Source organism: Homo sapiens, chromosome 9 (genome assembly GCF_000001405.40).
Source record: "Homo sapiens chromosome 9, GRCh38.p14 Primary Assembly".
Taxonomy (NCBI): Eukaryota; Metazoa; Chordata; class Mammalia; order Primates; family Hominidae; genus Homo; species Homo sapiens.
The window spans coordinates 84,618,783-84,646,194 of record NC_000009.12 but is presented as its reverse complement, the minus strand read 5'-3'; the positions used below and the strand labels follow the sequence as shown (position 1 = coordinate 84,646,194).

Genomic DNA, 27,412 nt, shown 5'->3' with positions numbered 1-27,412 from the left:
GAAGTTAAGACTTCTGCCTGGCCACTTTGGGTTCCTCATGTGTCTGAGTCAAAAGACCAAGAAGGGAACTATGATGTTGTCTGGAGTGATTTACATTCACTACCAAGGGAAAATTGGACTACTGCTCCACAATGGAGGTAAAGAAGAGTATGTCCATAGGCATGGGCAAGGACATCCTGACTAAAACACCAAAAGCAATGTCAACAAAAGCCAAAATTGACAAATCGGATCTAATTAAACTAAAGAGCTTCTGCACAGCAAAAGAAACTACCATCAGAGTGAACAGGCAACCTACAGGATGGGAGAAAATTTTTGCAATCTACTCATCTGACAAAGGGCTAATATTCAGAAACTACAAAGAACTCCAACAAATTTACAAGAAAAAAACAACCCCATCAAAAAGTGGGCGAAGGATATGAGAAGATGCTTCTCAAAAGAAGACATTTATGCAGCCAACAGACACATGAAAAAATGCTCATCATCACTGGCCATCAGAGAAATGCAAATCAAAACCACAATGAGATACCATCTCATGCCAGTTAGAATGGTGATCATTAAAAAGTCAGGAAACAACAGGTGCTGGAGAGGATGTGGAGAAATAGGAATGCTTTTACACTGTTGGTGGGACTGTAAACTAGTTCAACCATTGTGGAAGACAGTGTGGTGATTCCTCAAGGATCTAAAACTAGAAATACCATTTGACCCAGTCATCCCATTACTGGGCATATACCCAAAGGATTACAAATCATGCTGCTATAAAGACACATGCACACGTACATTTATTGTGACACTATTCACAACAGCAAAGACTTGGAACCAACCCAAATGTCAATCAATGATAAATTGGACTAAGAAAATGTGGCACATGGAATACTATGTAGCCATAACAAAGGATGAGTTCATGTCCTTTGTAGGGACATGGATGATGCTGGAAACCATCATTCTGAGCAAACTATCGCAAGGACAGAAAACCAAACACTGCATGTTCTCACTCATAGGTGGGAATTGAACAATGAGAACACTTGGACACAGGGTGGGGAACATCACACACTGGGACCTGTCGTGGGGTGGGGGGAGGGGGGAGGGATAGCATTAGGAGATATACCTAATGTAAATGACGAGTTAACAGGTGCAGCACACCAACATGGCACATATATACATATGTAACAAACCTGCGCATTGTGCACATGTACCCTAGAACTTAAAGTATAATTTAAAAAAAAAAAAGAAGAATATGTCTGGAATAAAAGCAATCCCTTAGGGCATCTCTTAGTATTACCATGCCCTATGATTAAGGTCAATAGAAACTAGAACAACCTAATCCATACAGGAATGCTAATGGCCCAGACCCTTCAGGAACAAAGGTTTGGGTCACCCCATCAAGTAAAGAACCATGACCACTGAGGTGCTTGCTAAAGGCAAAGAGAATACTGAATAGGTAGTAGAAAAATGTGATTATAAATATCAGCTGTGGCCACGCGGCCAGTCACAGAAATGAGGATGGTAATTGTCATGAGTATCTCCTCCTTATTTTGTTATGAATATGTTTGTGTGTGTTTGTGTAGATAGATGCATTAAGCAAATACTTTTGTTTTCTTTCCTCTCTTATTCCCTTATCATGTTACATAAAATGTATTGACTTTATATCAGTACTTAAGTACTGTTAACTTTACATTATAGTATTTAAATGATGAGATGTCAAGAGAAGAGTAAACATTACTCAAGGATTTTTACCTCCTCTTCTGGGAAAGAGATTAGTGCATTTTTAGTTGCATGCAGGGCAGTTGAATCCTGTTAGGTAGAATTATGACCTTGTTATTTTCTTTACTTGGTAATTAAGCATGGTTTAAGGAGATGCATATGGGTGCCAAGTTGACAAGGGTGGACTCATGATGGTTAATTTTATGTATCAACTTGACTAGGCTAAGCAATGCCCATATAGCTGGGAAAACATTATTTCTGGGTATGTGAGGACACATCCACAACAGATTAGCATTTGAATTGTAGACTGAGTAAAGAATAGCCATTCTCACCAATGTTAGTGGGCATCATCAAATCCATTGAGAGCCTGAATAGAATAAAAAGGTGGAGGAAGGGTGAATTTGCTCTCTGTCTGCTTGAGCTGGGACATCCATCCTCTCCTCGCCCTCAGTCATTGGCAGTCCCAGTTCTTAGGCCTTCAGACTAGGACTGGGGCTTACACCATCCATTCCCTGGTTCTCAGGCCTGCAGAGAGACTCAGACTGGGGCCTACACCATTGGCTTCTGTGGTTCTTGGACCATGGGTTTAGACTGGAACTACACCACCAGTTTTCTGGCCTCCCATTTGTAGATCACAGATTGTAGGACTTTTCAGCTTCCATAATCATGTGAGCCGGCCCTTCATGATAAATCTCCTTCCTATATAACCTATTGGTTCTGTTTCTCTGAAGAACCCTAACAAATACAGACCTCAAGGGAATTATGCTGAGTGGCAAAAGTCAATTTCAAAAGGTCAATACGATTCTGTTTATATAATATTTTCAAAATCACAGGATTATAGAGATGGAGAACAAATGAGAGTTAGGAAATGGGAGGAGAGAATGCTGGAGTGCAGGCATGGCTGTGAAGGGCGTGGCTATGCAGGCATGGCTGTGAAGGGTTAGCATGAGGCATTCTTGTGATGATGGCACAGTTCTGCATCTTGATTGTGAGTGGTAGTTACATGAGCTACACATGTGATACAATTGCATGCAATCACACACACACACAAACAGTGCATGTGTAAGTGGTGAAATCTAAGTCAGTTCTATAGATTGTACCAAGGTCAATTTCCTGGTTTTATAGTGTTCTATTTTTATACAAGATATCATTACTGGAGAAAGCAAGGGTAAGAGGTCCATGGAACACCCTCACATACTTTTTGGAATTTCTTCTGAGTCTGTAATTATTTTAAAATAAAAAGATTTAAAAACTCAGAAACTTCAGCACATTAACCATTATTAACAATCCTTTATGCTATACCTTGCAACAGAACACAACACACTGTGCATTATTGCACCTGAAGTGAAAACCCAAGCTACCCCATCACCTTCCCTTCAAAATGGATTGCACTTAAACAATCTCCTAAAGTGGCTTTCACAATTACCGACTAGTTCAATGGCCCCTGAAGAAGCTAATTCAAACATCGCCAGAACAAAAGGGCCTTGTGATTCTAACAATCCCATAGTTTTAGGACTTTTCCTTATGTTAAGTGAACTGTGAGTCACCTGCATTAATGATGAACTGATGAATAATGAATGTTCACAAACACAGATGAGTGAGCTGCTCAATGTATTAGTTGGGATAAACTAACTGTTCTAAGAACCCCAAATTCCAAGTGGCCTAACACAATGAAAGTTTATTTCTCACTATGCAAAGTTCAAAGCACATATTTCTGATTGGGTGCGTCTCCTCCCATAGTGACTCAGGGATCAGGGCTCCTTTCATGTAATATCTATTCCATCTTCAATACAAATTTGCTCTTGTATCACCCACCTACAAAGAGTGGGGAAGAGAGGGAATATATTGAATAGGACAGGATGCTTTCTGGGTCAGCCCTAGAGTGGCTACGTCATTTCCTCTGGCATTCTTCACACAACTCCACCTAGAAGCAGGTGGACTGGGAAAGGCAGTCTAGTTGAGTGGCCAGAAAGAGGAAATGAGTTTGGTGAGCATACAGCAAATCTCTGCCACGCTAACATTTCTAGGCACACTTTTCCTGAAAGTGGAAGTGTATTAGTCTGTTTTCACGCTGCTGATAAAGACATACCCGAGACTGGGTAATTTATAAGGAAAAGAGATTTAATGGACTCATAGTTCCACGTGGCTGGGGAGGCCTCACAATCATGGCAGATGGTGAAAGGCACGTCTTACATGGCGGCAGATAAGAGAATGAGAACCAAGTGAAAGGGGTTTCCCCTTACAAAACCATCAGACCTTGTGAGACTTATTCACTACCATGAGAACAGTATAGGGGAAACTGTCCCCATAATTCAATTATCTCCCACCAGGTCCCTCCTACAACACATGGGAATTATGGGAGCTACAATTCAAGGTGAGATTTGGTGGGGCACAGCCAAATGATATCTGGAAGTTAGCTGCTAAACAACTGAAGAAAAGATTAGGTAAGCAACAAGGGATTAAAGTAACTGGAGGATGGGATACAGAAGGTTCTATGTGGAAGCTTTATTTTCAGGGCCAACCAGAAAACCGTAACTGTTGACATTCAAAACGATCTTGAAATTTATAGAAGGCTGAAAATTGCTCTCACAGCTACTGTGGTGTGATCCCATATGTTTTGCCAGTTGTTTTTCTTGTTACTTACTCTAATACTGTCCTGATAATTATTCGCTGCATGTAACCATTATTCACTGTCAATTACTCAGGCCTCGATTCTCCCCTTCCATTTATTGAATGTGAAATAATTCGCCAAATAGAGCCAAAAAGGAGGAAAATTCTCCCACTAACTCTCCCCCTCACTCCAATATGAAGCTAGAGCTGAGTGAGAGCATAGAATGTCCACAGCTTCCAGAACACATACTCTTCTAATCATCTTTCCCAGCAGTACAGAAAATGGCCAGAATTTGCAAACAAGAAATTCAATTGAATTATGGGAAGAACAGACCCAGTAACATACCTTTTCCTTGGCCAAATCCCCAACTGGGCCAAATTCGGCCCCTCAATGGCACAGATGGGTTATAAAAAGACTTAGTCATCATAAGAATGATGAAGGAAACAGGATGAAGGAAACAGTCTCTTTTCCAACCCAAGATGGGAACATGGTTTATTCCATCCAATAGTGTCCCCAAATGCCCTCAATTTATCTAATGTCCTTCTAAAAAGGAAGAAAGTATCCTTGCTTATGGGTGAGAAACAAGGGTCTTACAAACAGTAGGATGCCCAGGAATTTTGCTTATTTTTTAATCTGTGTGTTACATGGCCTTTCTTGCTCACCAACTCTTTAACTGCAGGTAAGAATGCTCTCAATAGGAGTAAGATGCCACTTCATGAAATTGGAGGAATTTGTAAAAAATTACACGATGGATATGCCAAGTCTACACATACATAAGTGATCAGTCATAGCCATATCTTACTCCAAAAATGAAGGGAAGGGATGTAGTTTTTAATAATTTAGCAGAAGCAAATGGAGATTGATACTCTGGTTGAAATTGTTTTGAAAAAACAACAACACTATATTGCTCAAGAGAGCCACGAAAAATTAGATGATCAAGCTCATCATTTTAAGTCAACCGGACACAATCTTTTGTCCTCTTTTTGGTACTTTGATGACAGTCACCTAGTTGACTTTGTTACTTCTAGCATCCTATTGTAAAGAGGCTGTCAGAATCAGTTAACTTGTCATGTGACCCAGTGAACAAATGAGAGAATTTTGGCTTGGAAAATCATACAAAAATCTGTTAAAAAGATAGTCCCAGTTATGCATAAACATCAAATCTAGGGGATTCTTGTATAAAAACATAATTAGAACTCCAAATTTCTCAACTTGATTTTCCATAGTTGCAAGTATGGCATGCTTTTTGTTTTATTTTGATTGTGTGTGTGTGTGTGTGTGTGTGTGTGTGTGTGTATTCTTGGCACACTGACCTCACCCATATAAAATAAAAAAATATTAAAATATAAAAATTCACCAATATTATTTCATAAGATCACTACTCAGTATTAACTTCAATGAGTTTTTACAAGACTATACAATGGGGTTATAGATCAGAGGTCTGCAAAGTTTCTCTGTAAAGGGCCAAATAGCAAATACTTGGGGCTTTGTGAGTCAAATGATTTCTGTGGTTCTATGTAACTCTGCCATTGCAGCATGAAATCAGGCATAGACAAGTACATATACGAATGAGTATGTCTATATTCCAAGAAATTTTACTTACACGTGGCAAGTAGGATTTGACACACAGGCTGTAGTTTGCTGTCTTCTCTTATAGATTAATCTCCTATAAAAGTTACAGCTCTCTGCAGCTGTTCAGTTTTCCCCTTAGATAAAAATGTTTTTTCATTATCAAGAAACTAATGTTAATGGCAATTACTTTATGACAATTTCCTTATATAAGACACAAAAGATGTGACCTCTAATTACCTCTTTAAAGGGTCTGTCACATTTCATGCATTACCAGGGGGACTGATATTGTCATTGGCTCAATCTCCATTCAAAACCCTCTAGCATGCCTTTCAGCACTGCAGATGATGGGGCATGAACTATATTTACTAGACTCTCTTGCAGCTAGAGTTCCAGAGATAAATATGCTATTTCCTGACTGTGGTGAAGGTGGCAGTTAGCTTGGAAATCTAGGTATGTGTGGAACTGAGGGAGTTATGCTTGTAGGTTCAAGTTATAACCTGTTTATCAGGTCTTCCAATGATACTATAAACTAGATAGATTCATCAAATATCACTTTTGCCTAAACTAGGGAGACTGAATTATGTTTTCTCTATTGCTAATAACCATGACTAATAGTAGGGGTGGTTATGTTCGAAAGTTAATAGCAAGCATCTCCAAAATTATATATATATTTGCATTTTATATGTTTGTATTTTTAAAATTTTATGTATCAATTTTAGTTTATTGTCATTAAAGTATCATGTTACATGTGGTGAAATAGAAATATGTATTTTTTATATATAAATACTATTTCACCACATGTAACATGATACTTTAATGACAAAAAATTTCCAAGATATAAAAAATGCACTTTGATAATGTAGTCAAATCAAAATCAAAAAGTTATAAATTTCTAAGTTTTTTCAAAATGTATATAACTTGACATGTGCTTCCTGGAAAGGAATTTCTTTAAAGCAAGTTTACCTGCAGCAAATTTTCAGAAAATGATGTTTATCACTATGACCTCATCCCTTTTCTTATACTAAGACTCCATTACATATAATAAGATGACTACAGAGTCAGATGGTAAGGTAAAAAAAAATCTCTGAGCAACTAGATGTAGTGCGTTGTGTGGCTGAATTCTTGGTCTGATTGGTCCAGGGTCCAGTATTGTTGTTAATAAAGAAGTCTCCTATTGGGAACATGTTAAAGATTAAATAAACGGACACAGTATCATGCAAAGTAATCTTTTTTTTTTTTTTTACTTCCAATGCTAATCAAAATGGTTCCAGAGACATATGTAAGGCAATTATACTTGCCCAGTCTGATATAACATCTACCAAAAAGAAAAAATATCTACCTATTGATCCATAATTTAAATTTATCCTCTTACAAATATAGTTATATGATTTTAATGCTATATCTATATCCATCCATGATGACTTTGTGTAGAATACACTAGAACATACCAGAACCTTCTGTTTGCCTCTATCAATACCCCACTTTGCTCATGGACATGTTCCAGGCTAGGGAACATGATTCTATAACATCACTGCTGTTTTTATTTCTTTAATTAACCCAAAGCTTCACAACCCAAACATCTATTCCCAATATATCAGCCTCATCATCTTTTTTAACTCTTCCTAACAGCAAGTTTCCTATTTTCAGAAATTTCTTACCAAAATGTCAGGAAAATTATTTCAGTGGACTTTGAAATGTTTATATTTTAATTTCCTGTTTATAAAATATTAAAAATTGTGAGTATTAAGTCTGAGGAAACATGAGAAAAAATGAGATGAAGATCCTCTCTGAACCCAAGATAGATTATATAACCAACAATCGTCCAGCACTTACAAGAAGCCATTTGTTGTCTCATTTAATTCTGACACCAACTTAAATTACAGATATTATTATAATCCCCATTTGACAAATAAAGACATTGAGGCTCAGAGATGTTAAGTAACACGCTAAAGCCATACAAGTGGGAAGTGACAGAGCCAGGACTCAACCCCAGGTCTGTCTGCTCCAGTCACTGCCCTCAATTACCATGTCAGGGTCGCCTAAATGCCAGGCAGTGACAATGTTTTTGGCAGTCAGCAGTGTCAGTAAAAAAAATGTATTCAATTTCTTGAAATTGGGAGATTGCATGCTTCTTACTTATTTTGATTTTAAATCACCCTTCCTTTTATTAAATAGTAGTTTACTACATAATTAGTAGTAGCGATTCTCTGACATTACAGTCCATTGTGGAACAGGTAGGTAGTTCTCCTAGGGAGATAACCTCCAAGTAGTGACTCAGGAATCCAGGCAACATCTATTGTGAAGATCCACCACCTTGGAGTTATTCACTTCAACCAGAGGCACGAGGGAAGGGAGAAAGAGTGAAGAAAAAACTCTGGTTCTAATTGCCTTGGTCTGAAATTGAGCCAAGTCATATCTGTTTATATTCCATTGGCCATAACTCAATTGCATGGCCCTATCTAAATAGAAAAAAAGACTGGCAAATATAGTCTTCCTGTGTACCCCAAAAGGAGAGGAGAACCTAACATTGGTGAACACTAGCAATGACTACAAGAGTTCCGTATCAATGATCAATGTCCTTACATAGCAAAATTAGCTGCTGACAACTCTATTTTGAAATATTATTATTATTCATTTACCTTACTGGTGCATAAATCCAAAACTCTCTACTGAATCCTAATCAATATGGTACATGGAAGAAAAAAAAAGTTCAGATTAATTAATTTTAAAATAACTAGGCTGTGGCAAATTAGGGGGGCAAATAATTGGACTGAAACTGAGCAAAATAAGTTTTTATATCAACATTGTTTAAAAGACAGACTGTTACTGATATCTACTAATACTTCTTTCTCATCATGCATTCTGTACAACATAGTCCCCAGTGTATCTCAGATCCTATGTAAAGAACAATATGCAGTATTTAAGAGTGATTTGATGATTAATAGGTTATCACCATTAATAAGTAAATATATAAATCTCCTCCGTTTATAATAAAACATATCCAGTAGAAACTTCAATCCAAAACTCAAAAAACATATTTTTTTAGAACCTATATATTCAATTTACGGAATTAAAAGAATTAATATAATTATTTTCTTAGAAGAGGTAATTCAATGTCCTCTTAAGAATATCTTATATATATATTGTGTAGTCGCCACACTGATTCAAGGTGGTTCACAAGACAAGGAGTAGGAAGGAAACAACAAAATGTTCACAATCTTGAAGGAAAACATTGGCACACACCTGTAGTCCCAGCTACTCAGGAGGCTGAGGTGGGAGGATTGCACTGATGCCCTAGAGGTTGAGGGTGTAGTGAGCCATGATTGCACCACTGCACTCCCACCTGGGTGACAGAGCAAGACCCTGTTAAAAAAGAAAAAAAGGAAAGGAGAGGAGAGGAAAGGAAAGGAAAGGAAAGGAGAGGAGAGGAGGAAAGAGAAAAAGAAGAAAGAAAGAGAGAAAGACAGAAAGAAAGAAAGAAAGAGAGAAAGAGAAAGAAAGAGGAAAAGAGGAGGAGAAGAAGAAGGAGAAGGCGAAGAAGGAGGAGAAAAGAAGAGGAGGAGGAGGAGGGAGGGGGAGAAGGAGGGGGAGAAGGAGAAGGAGGAAGAGAGGAAGGGAAAAAGGGAGGAAATCCAAATATCTAAAATGACAATGGTATTTCCAAAGCATCATCCAAAGTTTCAGCTTTTGGATTGACTGCCAGTTTCTCAATTTTAACAGTGAGTTCTGGAGGAAATTTTAAAATATTTTAAGTGACTGATGAATAAAAAGTGGGAAAGACACCATGGCTTCTTGCTGCATGGATATAAACACTAATGTTTGATGTTTCTCATATCTGATGCTGTGGAGTTGCCCTCTGGTCACCCTCCACTTAAGTTCAGAACAAAAGTAGGCCAAGAGGTAAATCATTGAATATTTTAAATAATCTTCCAGAGAGAGTATTTGTTCAACTGGAAAACTCTGAGGGCTGAGAACTTTGAGAGTAATCTGCAAATCCACTAAACTCATCTGGTTTTGATTCCCTCATACATCTGAGTTATCATAAGAGTCTGAGATGATGTCATGTGTGCCCAAAGTGATTTTTCAAACAATTACCTTTAAGGCTTGATTTGTTAGCATTCAGCAACCTTTACACATTGGCAAAGTAAAATCACTACTGAAAGGTTCAGATAAACTTCCAAGAATTTTAAACAGATCTCCTTGGGGGCAAAAATCCTCTAATTTCTAGCTTACATCTACATATTTTTTAAATAGCTCAATAAATAAAGACCCCCATCTGAAACTTTTTAATTGCTGAGCTCCTTATTAATCCTAACTGATGTCCCATAAATCACATATAATGGGACCTTTTAGATAAGGTACTAATAAGATCCTCTAAGCTCCACAGTTCAATTTGCCAATGAACTATGTGGAACATGGGTCTCTCATCAGCACCTCAAATTCAACAAAACCAAAACTGCATTTGTTGTTTCCATAAAACTCACTTTCTGCACAGTTGTAACTCCATTCACTCAAGCCACTCAAGGTCAGAACGTTGAAGTCATCTTGGACATTTTTTTCTCTTCTTTCACCACACCTGAAGAGTTGCCAATTCCATTAGTTATTTCTTTGAAATAGCTCGTGAATTTGCCTCTTTATTTCCAGGCTACTGTCATTACTTCAGCTCAGGTATTTATGACTTCAAGTCTAGACCACCAAAAGAACTTTCTTACTGGTTTGTCAATCACTTTTTTCCCATCTATCTATGGACAGATTCTGTTCTTATCTGCCACTCACCTATTTTATAAATCTTTTCTTGGGTTCATATTCCCATTCCCAAACTTAATCTCACCTAAAGACTCTCTAAGAGTCTCTGGGGCTAACATCTTTATAGCACTATTTCCACCCTACCTCTGTGCACACCCTGACATAAAATCCAGCCAAAGTACACTGCTGGTTTCCCAAACACAGCTTGCAAGGTGTCCCTCCCCAGCTTTGCTCCTGCCTCTCCTGCTCACCTGGTGTGTCCTTCTCCCCATCTCCTCTCCTCCATCTGCTACCACTTAACAAACCTGGATCCTTAGAAGTTCAGCTAACCCTGTGACATTTTAATGGAAGTTATGTCTCCCTTCCTTTACCTACTATCATTTTTTGTTTGTTGCCCTCCATATACATTGATCTTATGTTGCCTTATATTCTTTCAAATATCTTTATTCCTCACTAGGTCTTAAATCCCCAATTCCTATTCATCCTTTTATCTTCCACAGCTCTTCTCGCTGTATCTAAGAGCTCCCTTCTTTGCTGAGCAAATGCCTACTTATCCTCCAAGACCTGTCTCATCTATTACGTCCTTAGAGATGCCTTTTGTGACTTTCCAAGGAGTTACTTCATGCATAGTTTTCATGCCTCATTTCTGGCTCTGATTCCCAACATTATAATTTTTTGCTGACATATTATTTACCCTACTGGAAAATAAAAATGATCATGTCTTATTCAGTCTTTTTGATTTGTGTATTATCTCAAGCCCACTACAGGACCTGTGTGATATATAGTGCCCAGGAACTGTAGTAAGCTTGCCTACATTAAGATAAATTTTTACAAGGTGGCCCCATTAACCTGGTTTTACCATCAATGGTCTAATAGATAGGATCCACCTGGAATTATTAATTATAGTAAAAAATTAGCCACAACTTGAATATTCCAATTTGTGGATGGTTAAGCCAGCTATACCATCTCCACATGATACACTGTTATGCAGCCATTAAAATTATGTTTATAAAACACTAAACTACACAGAAATTTAGATGCTGTATTATTCAGTCAACAAATATTTACCATTGGCATAAAAATTAAAATGTAAAATACAGATATATATATATGATGACCATACTTATACAAAATAAATGAACAGACATAAGAACCATTGCCAAGAGAAAAAATAAAATACCCCCCAACTCTTAATAATGGAGTATAGGTAGTAGAAAAGTCTTTTCCCCTTCTTCTACTCTTCTTTTTTTCAATGTCTTCTACAATTAATATGTATTTTTTTATAACCTAAACAACCCAATATATTTTTAAAGCCTATATCAACTATCATTCCCAGATCAGTTTTTACGGTAAATTTTTGTATTTCAGATTTTGATTTTGATTAAATTTTTATATTTCAGCTTTTTGTATGAATGTTTGTCCTATATTCCCTTTACTTCTACCCTCCTGTTAATAGCAAAGTTGTCTGTACTTTAGGTCTGTGAGCTCAGTCAGCATTACTCAAAATGAATTAACAGCTGCTCTGTCAGAGAAAAGGATATTTGTCAGAGGGCAAGCGATGAGGCCAGCAAACTCTGCTGTGAGCTGCCTTCCGCCTCTGTAGGACTAGCCCAAGATTCACCAATGAGGTAGAAAATACCACTCTTCCCTTAGAGTAACATTCTTTTTAACATCTTTTGGACCAAAAGGAAAAAAAAAATCTGTTTCTTTCCCTCTCTCCCTGTTATTCTGCCCCACTTTCTTCTTTCTCCTACTCTCTTTTCCAAAAATAAACTGCAAAGCACTTAAGAGTTTTTTAGAGTTAGGCATAAGGTATAAATGGCCACTCTTTTGTTTTCCAGATTAATGTGAAAGTTTTTACTGTTTGCCTTCCAAATTTTTCCTGTGGGTATGTTTTCCCATTTGAGATGCCTGTGAGAGCACATCAAACCATTCCAACAAGGCCATTTCTTCACTGGGATTCACAGCAGAGTAATTTAATTTTGTGATTACAAAATTATTTTTCTTAGGGCAATGAGTATCTGCTTTTTCTTTTCCCTGGTTTTCTTCTGCTTCTCCTTCTTGCCATATATGTTAGTGGCTTGGGGTTGTATCACTTGCTGCTCTTCAAGCACAAAGGTGATGATACAGACTTTTGCTGAAATTATTTTTTAATGCAATCAATCTCAGACTTGTGATTATGACATACCTGCTTCCTTGCCTCTCCTTTCCTATTAAAAGTGAGTTCCCAAACATGCGTCTGCAATGCCCTGATGATTTGACCAATGAACCAACAGATTGATGTAAAGTCAATGAAATCCATGACAATTTATTTTTTGAATGATAGGCTAGGCAGTTAGATGATAAACTTAATTGTGAAAAGGGAAAATATGTTATTGTGTGGAACATTATCAGACACTGCAAATCCACTTGTCTCTGAGCCAAGAAAGTATTGCAGCAAAGATACTCTCATTCTTTAAATCTTTTAGAAAAGGTAGAGTAAGGAGAACATTTTCTACTCCAGTAAAGGATGGCTTTGGGAAAGGACTGGTTAGCATGATATCAAAATTCAGGAAAATTCTAATCACTGATGGAGAATGAGCAACACATTTTCCCAACGTTTGTTGAAATTATTAAATAAGAAAGTTGCAATTCAAAGTAGGTGTTTACTAGAAAATGGGCAGCAAGGGATCAAAGAGGATGAGGAGATGTTGTCATGGAAACAGCCCTTTCCTAACATTTGCCTTTCAAGGACTTTTGAGGCTTTCATGTACATTGAATTTTTAATAATTTTCTAGATAAGTGACCCTACTTATGAACACTGTTCATAATTGAAGAGAGTGCTGTGTAGAATTTGGATTTCAATAACTGTAATTAGAACTCTCAGTAATTTTCTTTGAAATAGAATTTTTGCTTCAACACTACTTAGGGATTGAGGAAAAAGGCAAATCTTTGAAGAAGACAGTTTATCAGCCATACCTTCATTTCAGAGAACAATAGCAAAGGGAGATGAGGAGGGCCGTGGAAACAATATGGAACTCTGAAGATTTTTATGGCAATTCCAAGAGATTCTCAGGCCCCATGAATGAGCAGGCAGAAAGAAATGTTTCTCACCTTATTTCACAGTGAGAGTCATCCTTTTATGTTCCAAGGGGAATGGTTAGGTATGTTCTCACAGGCATCTCAGATAGGAAGATGTACCCACAGGAAAAATTTGGAACACGGTGAAAACTTTCGCATTAGTCTAGAAAACCCAAGAATGGCCATTTGGAGGCAAACTCCATTTGGAGGCAGCTAATTAAAGTTTCTCTCTGTCCAATAGGAGGAGTCCACCATATGGAGATTAGAGCATTGGTCTCCAGGTCCAGCCTATGTAGGGCCTGCTCCATCCCCATCTGCAGCTGAGGCCTGCCAGCTCATTGCCTTGGTATCCTTCGGGCCCCGTCTTCATGGCCATTCTTACCTAATGTACAGATGCTTAGTTTTCTTCTGCACATGCTGTCACCTCCAACTTGTGGTGAACATGCTCAGTTTACAGAAGAGGCAGTTGATTGTGTTATTTACAAATATGAACTCTGAAGCCACACTCCCTGGGTTCAAATCCTGACTCTACCTGTTACTAACTGACTTGGAGAAGTCACTTAACCACTTTGTGCTTTAGTTTCCTCATCTGTAAAATGGGAATAACAGCAACTTCTTCAAAGGGCTGTTGTGAAGAGGAAATGTGAATAAATATAAAGTCATTTGTATATTTAATTATTTGTCATTGATATTTTTCCAGTATCTTCTCAGAAATTATTTGGAGTTCACAAAAGTGTTCTGACACATATTTATATATTCTGACTAACATAAATAACTTTATCCTTTATAACTTTCACATACAATAAGCCACTTCTTAAACACTGTTTTCATAATACAGCTGAAGTAGAATTGACATGGTTAGAAAGTGTTGTGGATCACATAGGGAAAAGTGCAGGATTTCACCCCAAATCATCTTTTCCATAAATAAAGCCTAAGCTTGTACACAGAGAAGTGAAAAAGGCACTGCGGCAGAAGTGGAAAAGCACAGCTGAGATGCCCATTCAGGAAAAGACTTGCCCTGCCGCTTGGAGGGGCCTGGTGAGCTGACAGCCTCCAAGTGTCACCTCTGTCAGTGTTTGCTTCAGTGTTCAGTCCAGGCCATGCTCTTCTCGGGTGACCCTCAGAAAACGACTGTGTAAGAAAGTGATACAGGGCTCAGTACAAGGGCCCAGCATGGGTCTAATGGGCCTCTGGGCTCCAGAGCTTCCCTGGGAGGTGGGAGAGTCAGGTCTGCAGCAGGTGCGATGGCTTCCTCCATGGAGCACTGCTTCCGCCCTTCACAGGTGTGACAGCCCATAAGCCTTCTGCACTCATGACTCTGTCCCAGCACCTGCTTCACTGAAAACCCAGACTAGCACCACACATTGTTCAACCTCTATATTAGACTGCATTATAGGACACCTCAACTAGTCTAGCCCATGTGGAAAAATCCCCCAGAAGGAAATTTCCAGCATTTCATTTTTTAACACCTAAAATTTGCTCTGATTAAGAAAAGAATTGTGTTTGTTACAGGAAATTCAAACATAAGAGAAAATCATAATGTAGAAAGCGAATATCTCCTGTGGTCCCAAATCTCTTAACCATTAGGTGCATAGCCCTCTAGGTTTTCTGTGCTTCCATATGCTTACATGTCTGGTTGTTATTACTTTGCAAAACAGCATCAGACTACAAACAGTTCTGATTTACAATGGTTCAACTTCTGAATTTTTTACTTCAACGGTGTGAAAGTGATATGCACTCAGTATGCTCTTTATCTGCTTGACTTCCATCCAGATGCACTTTTGGCTTACAATATTTTCAAATTATGATGGGTTTATTGGGACATAACATGATGGTAAGCCAAGGAGCGTCTGTGTAGCCTTTCACAATTTGTGTTGGTTGGGGGCTGGGGAGGGATAGCATTAGAAGAAATACCTAACGTAGATGACGGGTTGATGGGTGCAGCAAACCACCATGGCACGTGTATATCTATGCAAGAAACCTGCACGTTCTGCACATGTATCCCACAACTTAAAGTATAAAAAAAAAAATACACACTAGATATTATTATCTATGTCCACACAGGTAGATATACTTCATTTAATTACCATTTACATAGAGTTTCATTCTATAAAAATTCCATAAACATTTCCACACAAATGGGCATTTGTATTCCCAGTTTTCCATGATCACAACAGAACTCTTAACACTGTTTAGCTTTACATAATTAAAGGTTTGTGAAAGTGTATTATTTGAGTTTCATTTTAAATTATTTGCATCATCTATTTTGGTATTTTGGGGAAAGGGTTATAAAACGGGATTCCAGGGACTGAACCTAGAATTTTGTACCTTAGGTCGTAAGGGTTTGAGTCATTTTCTGCTAAGTAGGGCTTTGCCTAAAGTGTCAAGCCAAAGTGTGCTCTATTCACCCTCTTTCCCTTATTTACCTTGTGATCCTATGTGCAAGTCAACTGCAGACTGAGGAGGACAAGTTTCAGTGCAGGGGGTGGGCGGTGATGGCTGCTAACTCGTAGGACCGACCCAGTCACTGGCCACATCAATGGCACCTCCCTAATAGATCTTGTGGTCTCTGTTTTTACAAAGGTCTCCTATAAACACAGAGAGTGTATGCAGTAATATTCTAGATTCTATGGAGGATGTAAGATGTTCAAATATAGCCTAACCTCTTTTTCTATTATAGAAAGGTAAGCTTTTGTTGTCTTTAAGAACTTCTGTTGTACAGGAACCTCCTTTTATCAAACTTTTAAAAAATAAAACAACGACAAAAAGGTAAGGACATAAAAGCTATAAGCTTCAGCCAATGTTTGCATCATCACCAACTGAGTTTGTTTGGCCAGTGGATCAAATGTTTTTGCCAAGGTGAATTCGCCCTGTCAGATATCCCCTGGTCTTAGAGACAGCTTAAGAGCTCCTGTACAATTCCTGTCAGGGCTACTGTAGCAAAAATGTTCTTGGCTTGCCAATGTTGTCAATGTTGTCTGCATTTGTTTGGCTAAAGGGCCCAGAGAGACCCTAGGAGGCAGCAGGAGAGGGCTCTCAGGCAAGGTTGAAGGGTTAAGAAAGCAAAACAGTGCACAAATACCAATAAATGGAGACCAGGAATTGGATAGACTGTACCCATCAGTGACTTATAGATCGCCTCATTTTCTTTAAAAACCTCTTTGGAAATAGTAGGAAGCATTAAAAGTACTTTTTTTTCAGTTTCTCATTTTCTTTTTTTATTATACTTTAAGTTCTAGGGTACATGTGCACAATGTGCAGGTTTGTTACATATGTATACATGTGCCATGCTGGTGTGCTGCACCCGTTAACTCGTCATTTACATTAGGTATATCTCCTAATGCTATCCCTCCCCGCTCCCCCCATCCCACCACAGGCCCCGGTGTGTGATGTTCCCCTTCCTGTGTCCAAGTGTTCTCATTGTTCAATTTCCACCTATGACTGAGAACATGCAGTGTTTGGTTTTCTGTCCTTGCGATAGTTTGCTCAGAATGATGGTTTCCAGCTTCATCCACGTCCCTACAAAGGACATGAGCTCATCCTTTTTTATGGCTGCATAGTATTCCACGGTGTATATGTGCCACATTTTCTTAATCAGTCTATCATTGATGGACATTTGGGTTGGTTCCAAGTCTTTGCTATTGTGAATAGTGCTGCAATAAACATACGTGTGCATGTGTCTTTATAGCAGCATGATTTATAGTCCTTTGGGCATATACCCAGTAATGGGATGGCTGGGTCAAATGGTATTTCTAGTTTTAGATCCTTGAGGAATCACCACACTGTCTTCCACAATGGTTGAACTAGTTTACAGTCCCACCAACAGTGTAAAAGCATTCCTACTTCTCCACATCCTATCCAGCACCTGTTGTTTCCTGACTTTTTAATGATCACCATTCTAACTGGTGTGAGATGGTATCTCATTGTGGTTTTCATTTGCATTTCTCTGATGGCCAGTGATGATGAGCATTTTTTCATGTGTCTGTTGGCTGCATAAATGTCTTCTTTTGAGAAGCGCCTTCTCATATCCTTCGCCCACTTTTTGATGGGGTTGTTTTTTTCTTGTAAATTTGTTGGAGTTCTTTGTAGATTCTGGATATTAGCCTTTTGTCAGATGAGTAGATTGCAAAAATTTTCTCCCATCCTGTAGGTTGCCTATTCACTCTGATGGTAGTTTCTCTTGCTGTGCAGAAGCTCTTTAGTTTAATTAGATCCCATTTGTCAATTTTGGCTTTTGTTGCTATTGCTTTTGGTGTTTTAGACATGAAGTCCTTGCCCATGCCTATGTCCTGAATGGTATTGCCTAGGTTTTCTTCTAGGGTTTTTATGGTTTTAGGTTTAACATTTAAGTCTTTAATCCATCTTGAATTAATTTTTGTATAAGGTGTAAGGAAGGGATCCAGTTTCAACTTTCTACATGTGGCTAGCCATTAAATAGGCTATTTAAACAGCCTATTTAAATAGCACCATCAAATAGGGAGTCCTTTCCCCATTTCTTGTTTTTGTCAGGTTTGTTGTCAAAGATCAGATGGTTGTAGATGTGTGGTATTATTTCTGAGGGCTCTGTTCTGTTCCATTGGTCTATATCTCTGTTTTGGTACCAGTACCATGCTGTTTTGGTTACTGTAGCCTTGTAGTATAGTTTGAAGTCAGGTGGCGTGATGCCTCCAGCTTTGTTCTTTTGGCTTAGGATTGTCTTAGCAATGTGGGCTCTTTTTTGGTTCCATATGAACTTTAAAGTAGTTTTATCCAATTCTGTGAAGAAAGTCATTGGTAGCTTGATGGGGATGGCATTGAATCTATAAATTACCTTGGGCAGTATGGCCATTTTCATGATATTGATTCTTCCTATCCATGAGTATGGAATGTTCTTCCATTTGTTTGTGTCCTCTTTTATTTCCTTGAGCAGTGGTTTGTAGTTCTCCTTGAAGAGATCCTTCATATCCCTTGTAAGTTGGATTCCTAGGTCTTTTATTCTCTTTGAAGCAATTGTGAACGGGAGGTCACTCATGATTTGGCTCTCTGTTTGTGATTTTTGCACATTGATTTTCTATACTGAGACTTTGCTGAACTTGCTTCTCAGCTTAAGGAGATTTTGGGCTGAGACGATGGAGTTTTCTAAATATACAATCATGTCATCTGCAAACAGGGACAATTTGACTTCCTCTTTTCCTAATTGAATACCCTTTATTTCTTTCTCCTGCCTGATTGCCCTGGCCAGAACTTCCAACACTATGCTGAATAGGAGTGGTGAGAGAGGGCATCCCTGTCTTGTGCCCGTTTTCAAAGGGAATGCTTCCAGTTTTTGCCCATTCAGTATGATATTGGCTGTGGGTTTGTCATAAATAGCTCTTATTATTTTGAGATATGTTCCATCAATACCGAATTTATTGAGAGTTTTTAGGATGAAGGGCTGTTGAATTTTGTCAAAGGCCTTTTCTGCATCTATTGAGATAATCATGTGGTTTTTGTCTTTGGTTCTGTTTATATGCTGGATTATGTTTATTGATTTGCATATGTTGAACCAGCCTTGCATCCCAGGGATGAAGCCCACTTGATCATGGTGGATAAGCTTTCTGATACACTGCTGGATTCAGTTTGCCAGTATCTTACTGAGGATTTTTGCATCAATGTTCATCAGGGATATTGGTCTAAAATTCCCTCTTTTTGTTGTGTCTCTGCCAGCCTTTGGTATCAGGATGATGCTGGCCTCATAAAATGAGTTAGGGAGGATTCCATCTTTTTCTGTTGATTGGAATAGTTTTAGAAGGAATGGTACCAGCTTCTCCTTGTACCTCTGGTAGAATCTGGCTGTGAATCTGTCTGGTCCTGGGCTTTTTTTGGTTGGTAGGCTATTAATTATTGCCTCAATTTCAGAGCCTGTTATTGGTCTATTCAAGGATTCAACTTCTTCCTGGTTTAGTCTTCGGTGGGTGTATGTGTCTAGAAATTTAACATTTCTTCTAGATTTTCTAGTTTATTTGCATAGAGGTGTTTATAGTATTCTCTGATGGTAGTTTGTATTTTTGTGGGATTGATGGTGATATCCTCTTTATCATTTTTTATTGCGTCTATTTGATTCTTCTCTCTTTTTAGTCTTGCTAGCAGTCTATCAATTTTGTTGATCTTTTCAAAAAACCAGCTCCTGGATTCATTGATTTTTTGAAGGGTTTTTGTGTCTCTATCTCCTTCACTTCTGCTCTGATCTTACTTATTTCTTGCCTTCTGCTAGCTTTTGAATGTGTTTGCTCTTGCTTCTCTAGTTCTTTTAATTGTGATGTTAGGGCATCAATTTTAGATCTTTCCTGCTTTCTCTTGTGGGCATTTAGTGCTATAAATTTCCCTCTACACACTGCTTTAAATGTGTCCCAGAGATTCTGGTATGTTGCGTCTTTGTTCTCATTGGTTTCAAAGAACATCTTTATTTCTGCCTTCATTTCGTTATGTACCCAGTAGTCATTCAGGAGCAGGTTGTTCAGTTTCCATGTAGTTGAGCGGTTTTGAGTGAGTTTCTTAATCCTGAGTTCTAGAGTAGTGGTTTGCCTAGCACGGAGTTTGAGAAAAGTACGCTTTTTTAAAAAAGTAAACCAGTATTTTTTCTTTTCGTTTTTTTTTCTTTCCTAATTGACCCAGAAAAGCCAGTTATTTACTTCCTAAATTTTTCAATTTATGTATTTACAAAGTCAAACAGTTGAGATATAGACAAGGTGAAAAGCTACACCTAACAAGGTGGTTCTCAGACTTTACCATATCAAGACTCACCCAAGAATCTCACCAACATGGCAGACTCTTTGGTCCCCATGCCAGAATTCTGATTCAGTGCATCTAGGACAGAGTTCAGGAATCTGCATTTTAATAATTCCAAGTGATTCTCATAGGAGGGATAGAGAGAATACACCTTGAAAAAGCTTGCAGGCTTGAAGCCTGCAAAACTCCTTTTTCTATCCCTAGTTTGTTAGTGAGTTTCAACACAGCTTTGGGCCAAGTCACATCCACTGTGTCCCAATTTCCGTCTATAAAGTGGGGCTGATCATATTTGCCACCTACCTCATTAGCATCACATGTAGATCATGAGATAATTCCTGCAAAGTTGTTTAACTTCCTCAGTAGAAAGGTGCTATATTTCAAGTATTATCAAGTATTTGTTTCAAGTATTGCAGTGACACTGTTTTTCAGGGGCCCATAAAAAGTGGTACCATTGTTGGAAAATGTGTTTTTTCAGCAACTACACTATAGGTGCATGCATATTAAACAACTTGCATACTAAAGGAGAATGGGTTTGTGCCTCAACTTTGACTTGAATCTCACTGGCAGCATGACCAATGTCATTTTTCAACTACAGAACACATTTTAACATTCTATGGTCTATCAGTCATGGTTCTAACAGAGAAACGGAACCAGTAGGAGATATGTTTATACCTATATATATACAAATACATACATATATGTATACACATACGTGTGTGTGTGTGTGTGTGTGTATACAGTCATGTGTCACTTAACAATAGGGATACATTCTAAGAAATGCATCATTAGGCAGTTTTGTCACTATGCAAACATCACTGAGTGTACTTACACAAACCTAGATGGTATAGCCTACTACACATCTAGGCTATAGGGTATACCCTGTTTCTCTCAACATGTTACTCTACTGTATACAGTAGACAACTATAACACAATGGTATTTGTGTATCCAAACATGTCTAAACATAGAAAAGGTATGGTAAAAAAATACAGTATTCTAATCTTATGGGACCACCGTCATAGATGTCAACTGAAACCTCAGTATGTGCCACGTTACTGTGTATTTGGAGGAAGGAGGGTGGGTTTGTGCAGTTCGTGGATCTGCAGGGCAGCTTGGCAGGCTGGAAACTCTTGGGCAGGAGCTGACTCTGTGGTCCAAAGGTGGAATTTCTTCTCCCTCAGAGAAACCATGTTTTTTTCCACTAAGCTATTCAACTTGTGGATGAGGCCCATCCACACTCAAGAACAATCTCTTACTTAAGTTCACTGATTGTGGACGCTAACCACTACATAACGCCTTCACAGGAAGACCTAGATTCCTGTTTGGTTGAACAACTTTGTGCTATAGTCTATCTAAATTGACACATAAAACTAACCATCTCTTGTGATGAAATTAAAAGCAACAAAAAAATTAGGAATAAACAAAAACTAACCATCACCCATGGCTTCCTATGTTTTTTGATGCTTGCCAAGTTAACCTATTTATGAGTTAGAAACAAAGATCTATCCAGATAATTTAATAATTGCATAGGTGAAGCAAAAACTGATATTAATTTCATTATTTTATCACTGTGTAGTTTGATAGGGCAAATAGGCTAATAATTAGATTTTTCATGGGCCTGAAATATTCTTATGTTTATGTTGTAGGCACAAGGATACCTAGAAACATGTCCTTTCTTTGTAAGATTTAGATATTTTATAAGAAAATACATGAAAGTACTGAGCCCGGAGGAAACACTTGTTGTTTTGTGTGTCCTTAATATCCCTTCTTCTGGTAACACTACCTAAATTTACCCTATATTTGGTTAATCTCTCCTTCCAGCAGGGAGGCCTGGCCAATCAGAACAAGTGTGTCCCACTCCCTACAGGAATTTGGTCAGGATGGACAGATGACTCAGTCTGGGAATTCTTGCTGGAACCAGCAGAAAAGGGATGCTTTTAGCTGTGGTTGCAAAGGTGGTAGAAAAACTCCTGGCATTGTTAGTGACTATCTTGCTGCAACAAGAGGAGGACCTGCCTAAGAAGGAAGAGCTGAGATTGAGAGACAGATTCTGAAGACATGGGTTTAGTGACTGAAAACAGCCATTGTGAAGCCATGTGGATTTTTGGCTCCTTAACCAATTATTCCCTCTCTATGCTTAAACCAATTTGAGTTGTGTCCCTGTAACTTGGCACTCAAAATTTCTGACTACAGTAGGTACCAGTTCTCCATGTTTGCATTTAGGAGAGTATTCACAATGAGTTTGCTCTGCAGGTAATTAAAAAGAGAAGCATTTCTTCTGCCCCCCACCCTCGGCCTCATTGTTCCTGCCAGTATCATGATGTTCCCAGGAGTGCAGTTCCCAAGGTGGGGCAGCCAAGGTCATCCCAGTTTTTCCTGCTCAGAAAAGTGGAGGCCTCTCTCAGAGGTCACAATCCCTCTACCAGCTGGCGTCGTCTCTCACAGGCAGTCACTTCCACAAGAGACTCAAGGAAAGGGGGCGGGTCCATGTAGAAGGGACAACAATTGCCACAACTTAGATCAATCTCTGTGAACATCTAGACCTGCACCAGCTACCCCTAAGGTGACGTCAGAAGACAGGGAAAGGGGAAGGCAGTAAGAATGGGAAGAAGAGGACGAAAGGGAAATGAGGATGAAAATAAACTTTTAATAAGTTCCTACTATGTGCCAGGCACTGTGACAAATTCTTATCACATAGGTTATCTCATTGGATCCTCACCGCGTTCTATAAAGTTCTGTAAAGTATTTCCATGAGGCACTTGTTATCATCTTCATTTTAACCCATAAGAAAATAGTCCTACAGAGATGAGTAACTTATGCAAAGTCACACACTTAGAGTGTCACTGGCAGAGCTGAAATTTAGACCGGATTGCCTGATTCTAACACCTCTGTGTGTGTGTGTCCCTTTCTTTGAAAATATCCTTATGAGAAACCCCAAAATATAGAAAAGACAAAAGAGCCATGGCCACCTGCTTACCCATTCCTTCCCAACTCCTTGGAAGACCCTACCACTTACCCTGGGAAATGCAGAACTTCAAGAGCACACTTTGGTAGAAAAACACAGACAGGAATGGTAGAAAAACACAGACAGGAATGGTGGAAAAACATCTTCATGATTAGGATTCAGCTCAGACATCAGGTTTTCTTCTGTGATGGAAGGGGGTAAGAAAAATTAGATAAATAATTTTTTTTAAAAAAAAAGGAGCTCCCATATCCCTTGTAGTTCCAGTACCTACATAGAACAAGATATGTTGCAGGTACTTAAATAGATATTTGGTGAGTGAATAAATAAATGAATAACAACGAGTAATTAACTTGACTAGTTATAATAAAGGGGGAAAGTTTGGCTTCCTGATTTTATTTCTCCTTGCAATAATAATTTTCCTCCAAATTCTACATTGGATTATTTCTGTAAAGCTGGGACTTTAGTGAGAGTTTGCTGGAAGACTGCCTGATAAGATATGGTAGGCACATTATCTACCACTTCATCTCTGGTCTTCATATCAGAAGCAAGGATTCGGAAGGCTTTTAAGATCACTGGGGGAATACAATGTGGGAGTGGAATGAAATGTTGAATAAAAAGCAAGGTAAGGATGTAATGTACTTTCTTACAATTCTAATGATGACATCTATCAACCTGTTAAAGTTTTTGGATGCCATTCTAGTTTGCACAATTCAAAGAAAAATGTTTCAGAGTGGCATTCCATGAGTTTGAATGCCACAACAGGCCTAAAACCATCATTTTTTGAGTTCCTCGCATGGGCCAACCACTGAAGTAGACAGTTTCTGTTTCTGGCATCCACTTACATTTACCTCCATAAAGGTAGGCATCTGAATTCTGCATCAAGAGAAAAACACTCTCCCCATTCTTAACTTTCTCCTCTTCAGGCAATATTGCCTCCACTCCTGACTCCAGGACATGACTTATGCCTGTCACAGTGAAAGCGTATGACAGGCATTTTATATACTCTCTCTTGCTTAACATCCTAACAACCCTGTAGGAAAAGAATTATTATTGCAATTTTACGAATAAGAAAACCAAGGCTTGGAAAGGTTAAATTACTTGTCCAAAGCCACACAGATGGTGTCAACGCTAATTTTAGAGAATGAGGATAACTCTTATTAACCTTGACTATTCAAAATGTATGCACAAGTTGCTGTCAATAACTATTAAAAAGAATGAGCTGTCCGATATCTGAGGATGGATAACATGACACTTTTAGGTTTCCTCGACATCGTGTGTGTGTGTGTGTGTGTGTGTGTCTGTGTGTGTGTGTGTGTGCATTAGTTCGTTTTCAGGCTGCTGATTGATAAAAACATACCCAAGACTGGGTAATTTATAAAGAAAAGAGGTTTAATGGACCTACAGTTCCACGTGGCTGGGGAGGCTTCACAATCATGGCAGAAGGTGAAAGGCACGTCTTACATTGGCAATAAGCAAGAAAGACAATGAGAAACAAGCAGAATGGGTTTCCCCTTATAAAAGCATCAGATTTTGTAAGACTTATTCACTACCATGAGAATGATATGGGGGAAGCCGCCCCCATGACTCAATTATCTCCCACCAAGTCCTTTCCACAACACGCGGGAATTATGGGAGCTATAATTCAAGATGAGATTTGGGTGGGGACACAGCCAAACCATATCAGTGTGTGTGTGTGTTCAATCAATGTCAACAGATGGTCTCATGTACTGGTTAAGAGCTTGGACTTTGGAACCCACTCCCTGGTTCAAATCCCATCTCTATCTTATACTAACTATACGTAACCTAACCTTGTAACTGTGGACAAATTAATAACCATGCCTTAGTTTCCTCATCTGAAAATCAGAATGAGGATAGTGATGGAATTTGCCTTGTGGAACTATTGGATCAGCTGTGCTAACATCAGTAAAGTGCTTAGAACGTATCCAGCATCTGGTCAGTGCTACCATTGCTACTAATGTATGTAATGTTCCCCATATATCCAAAACCTAAAGACATGTATTACTTTGATGCCCTGTTTGTTTGTACTGCCCCAAAAGACATAATGAAGCAGATAATTGCCAATCATTTCCCTCCAGGCACAATTCTTCAATAAAGTCCTTGTCCTTGCTCAAGCTGGGAAACCATTTCAAGACTCACAGTGTATTGTCATTATTCAAACATTAGAAATATTTTTCCAAGTGCAGCATCAGCTTCTAAGCAGGAGTTGTTCGGGAGCCAAGTCACGGGATACCATCACATCCATGTGAAGGAAGTGGCTTCATCCAGGCCCACAGGGATCATGATAAGATCCTTCACTATCAGCAAGAATAATTGCAAAGACTTCACTGTAACTGCCATCTCACTGCATTGTGCAATTTTTAAAATTCCATTCACTCTTAAATGTTCCCTTAGTTTCTATCCAGGGTTCACTTAGCAGAACTGGCTTGTCAAGAGGAGAGGCCTCTTTGTTTTCCAAAAGCAAGTGTACTTCTGTCCCAGAGCATCCATCTTGCCCCCACCATCCTCATCATCTTCATCCACATAGCCTCTCTCTCTGGAGAAAAAGAAACAGAGCCTGGCTTTTCAGCATCACCAAGACCGTTTTAGCATCCTGCCCTAATGCAAGGAATGGGCCTCACCAAATTCCCACTTTACCTAACGAGATGGAACAATCAGCAATTAGCATTCTCTGATCAAAACAGCAAAGGCACCTGGCAAAAAGCGTTGGTGAGAAGCGAAAGCAACACAGAAAAAGTTAGAGGAAGTTCCCCTCTTCCTCTATCACAACTTGGGAACAATGTTCGAGCAGTGTGAACACCCTCACCACTGCTCAAACAGGATTTCTCTGGTCTGTTTTGTGCTACACACAAAACAATTTAATTGTTAAGTAGGCTTTGATTCTTTCCAACTTATGCTGTGTAGTGTCCGTTGGGAGTCACTTGGTATAGGATGGATCAGCTACAATTAGGCTTCACTGCAAATGGTGTAAAATCAAAATTAGCAGTTGTTTAAATTAGCTAAAAGGGCCAGCGTGATGGCTCATGCCTGTAATCCCAGCACTTTGGGAGGCCGAGGCAGTTGGATCACTTGAGGTCAGGAGTTTGAGACCAGCCTGGCCAACATGGCAAAAACCTGTCTCTACTAAAAATACAAACATTAGCCAGACATGCTGGCACGTGCCTGTAATCTCAGCTACTTGGGAAGCTGAGGCAGGACAATCACTTGAACCTGGAAGGCAGGGGTTGCAGTGAGCTGAGATTGCACCGCTGCACTCCAGCCTGGGCCAGACAGAGCAAGACTCCACAAGACTCTGTCTCAAAAATAAATAAATAAACTAAAAGTACATTTTTTCTAGTGTAACAAGAGCAGTCCAGGACCTGTATTGCTTTCCACAGGACAAGGATCTTGGCTCTTTCTGTCATTTTGCTTCATCATGATTCACCTCATGGTCCAAGATGGCTGCTGGATCTCCAACCATCCTTTAAATCTCAGCCAACTGGAAGGAGCTAAGCCAGAAGAAGAGACACAGAATGCATGTTAGCTTCCTCACAAAGAAGTTTTCTGGAGGCTCCCCCATGTCCTCCGCTTAATCTTCTTTATTAACATAGAGTTGCCAGAGACTGCAATGAATAAATATCTGGTTCAATGCACCCTACACAGAAACACACACACATAATTATATTCTAGATCCTTGTCCCCAGAGCAGAGAAGGTAGGCATCCTCTCTTATTGAGAGTCCTGCCTTAGCCAAACTTCCTCTCTTATGGTGCTAGACATCGCCCACACAGAGGCTGGCAGCCCCTTTAGAGCCTGTGTTAAGGCTAGCATTTTCTTTCTTCCTTTCTCTCTCTCTTTTTAAACTGTAAAATAGACTTGCTTGCATCTCAAAACAGACTTTGGATTATTAGAGAAACTTAGCTTGGGTATTCTCTTCTTGAGGCTATTGCCTTATCTTTCTAATATTGACAATAATAATTTTAATATTGCTATCATGACATTCTTGGAATATTACC

General features: G+C 38.9%; 1 long non-coding RNA gene across 11 annotated transcripts in view; it reads right to left on the bottom strand.

The window, feature by feature from the left end:
* Positions 1-27,412, bottom strand: part of LOC102724036 (uncharacterized) — a 247,231-nt gene that overhangs the window by 10,837 nt on the left and 208,982 nt on the right. For 10 of the 11 annotated variants that reach the window (XR_007061623.1, XR_007061624.1, XR_007061625.1 and 7 more), the window contains 4 exons: positions 23,452-23,582; positions 10,369-10,460; positions 8,524-8,560; positions 5,916-6,018 (listed from right to left, as the gene is read on the bottom strand). This is a non-coding gene — a long non-coding RNA (uncharacterized LOC102724036). The remainder of the gene's footprint in view (positions 1-5,915; positions 6,019-8,523; positions 8,561-10,368; positions 10,461-23,451; positions 23,583-27,412) is intronic. The other variant, XR_007061626.1, reaches the window with a different exon arrangement.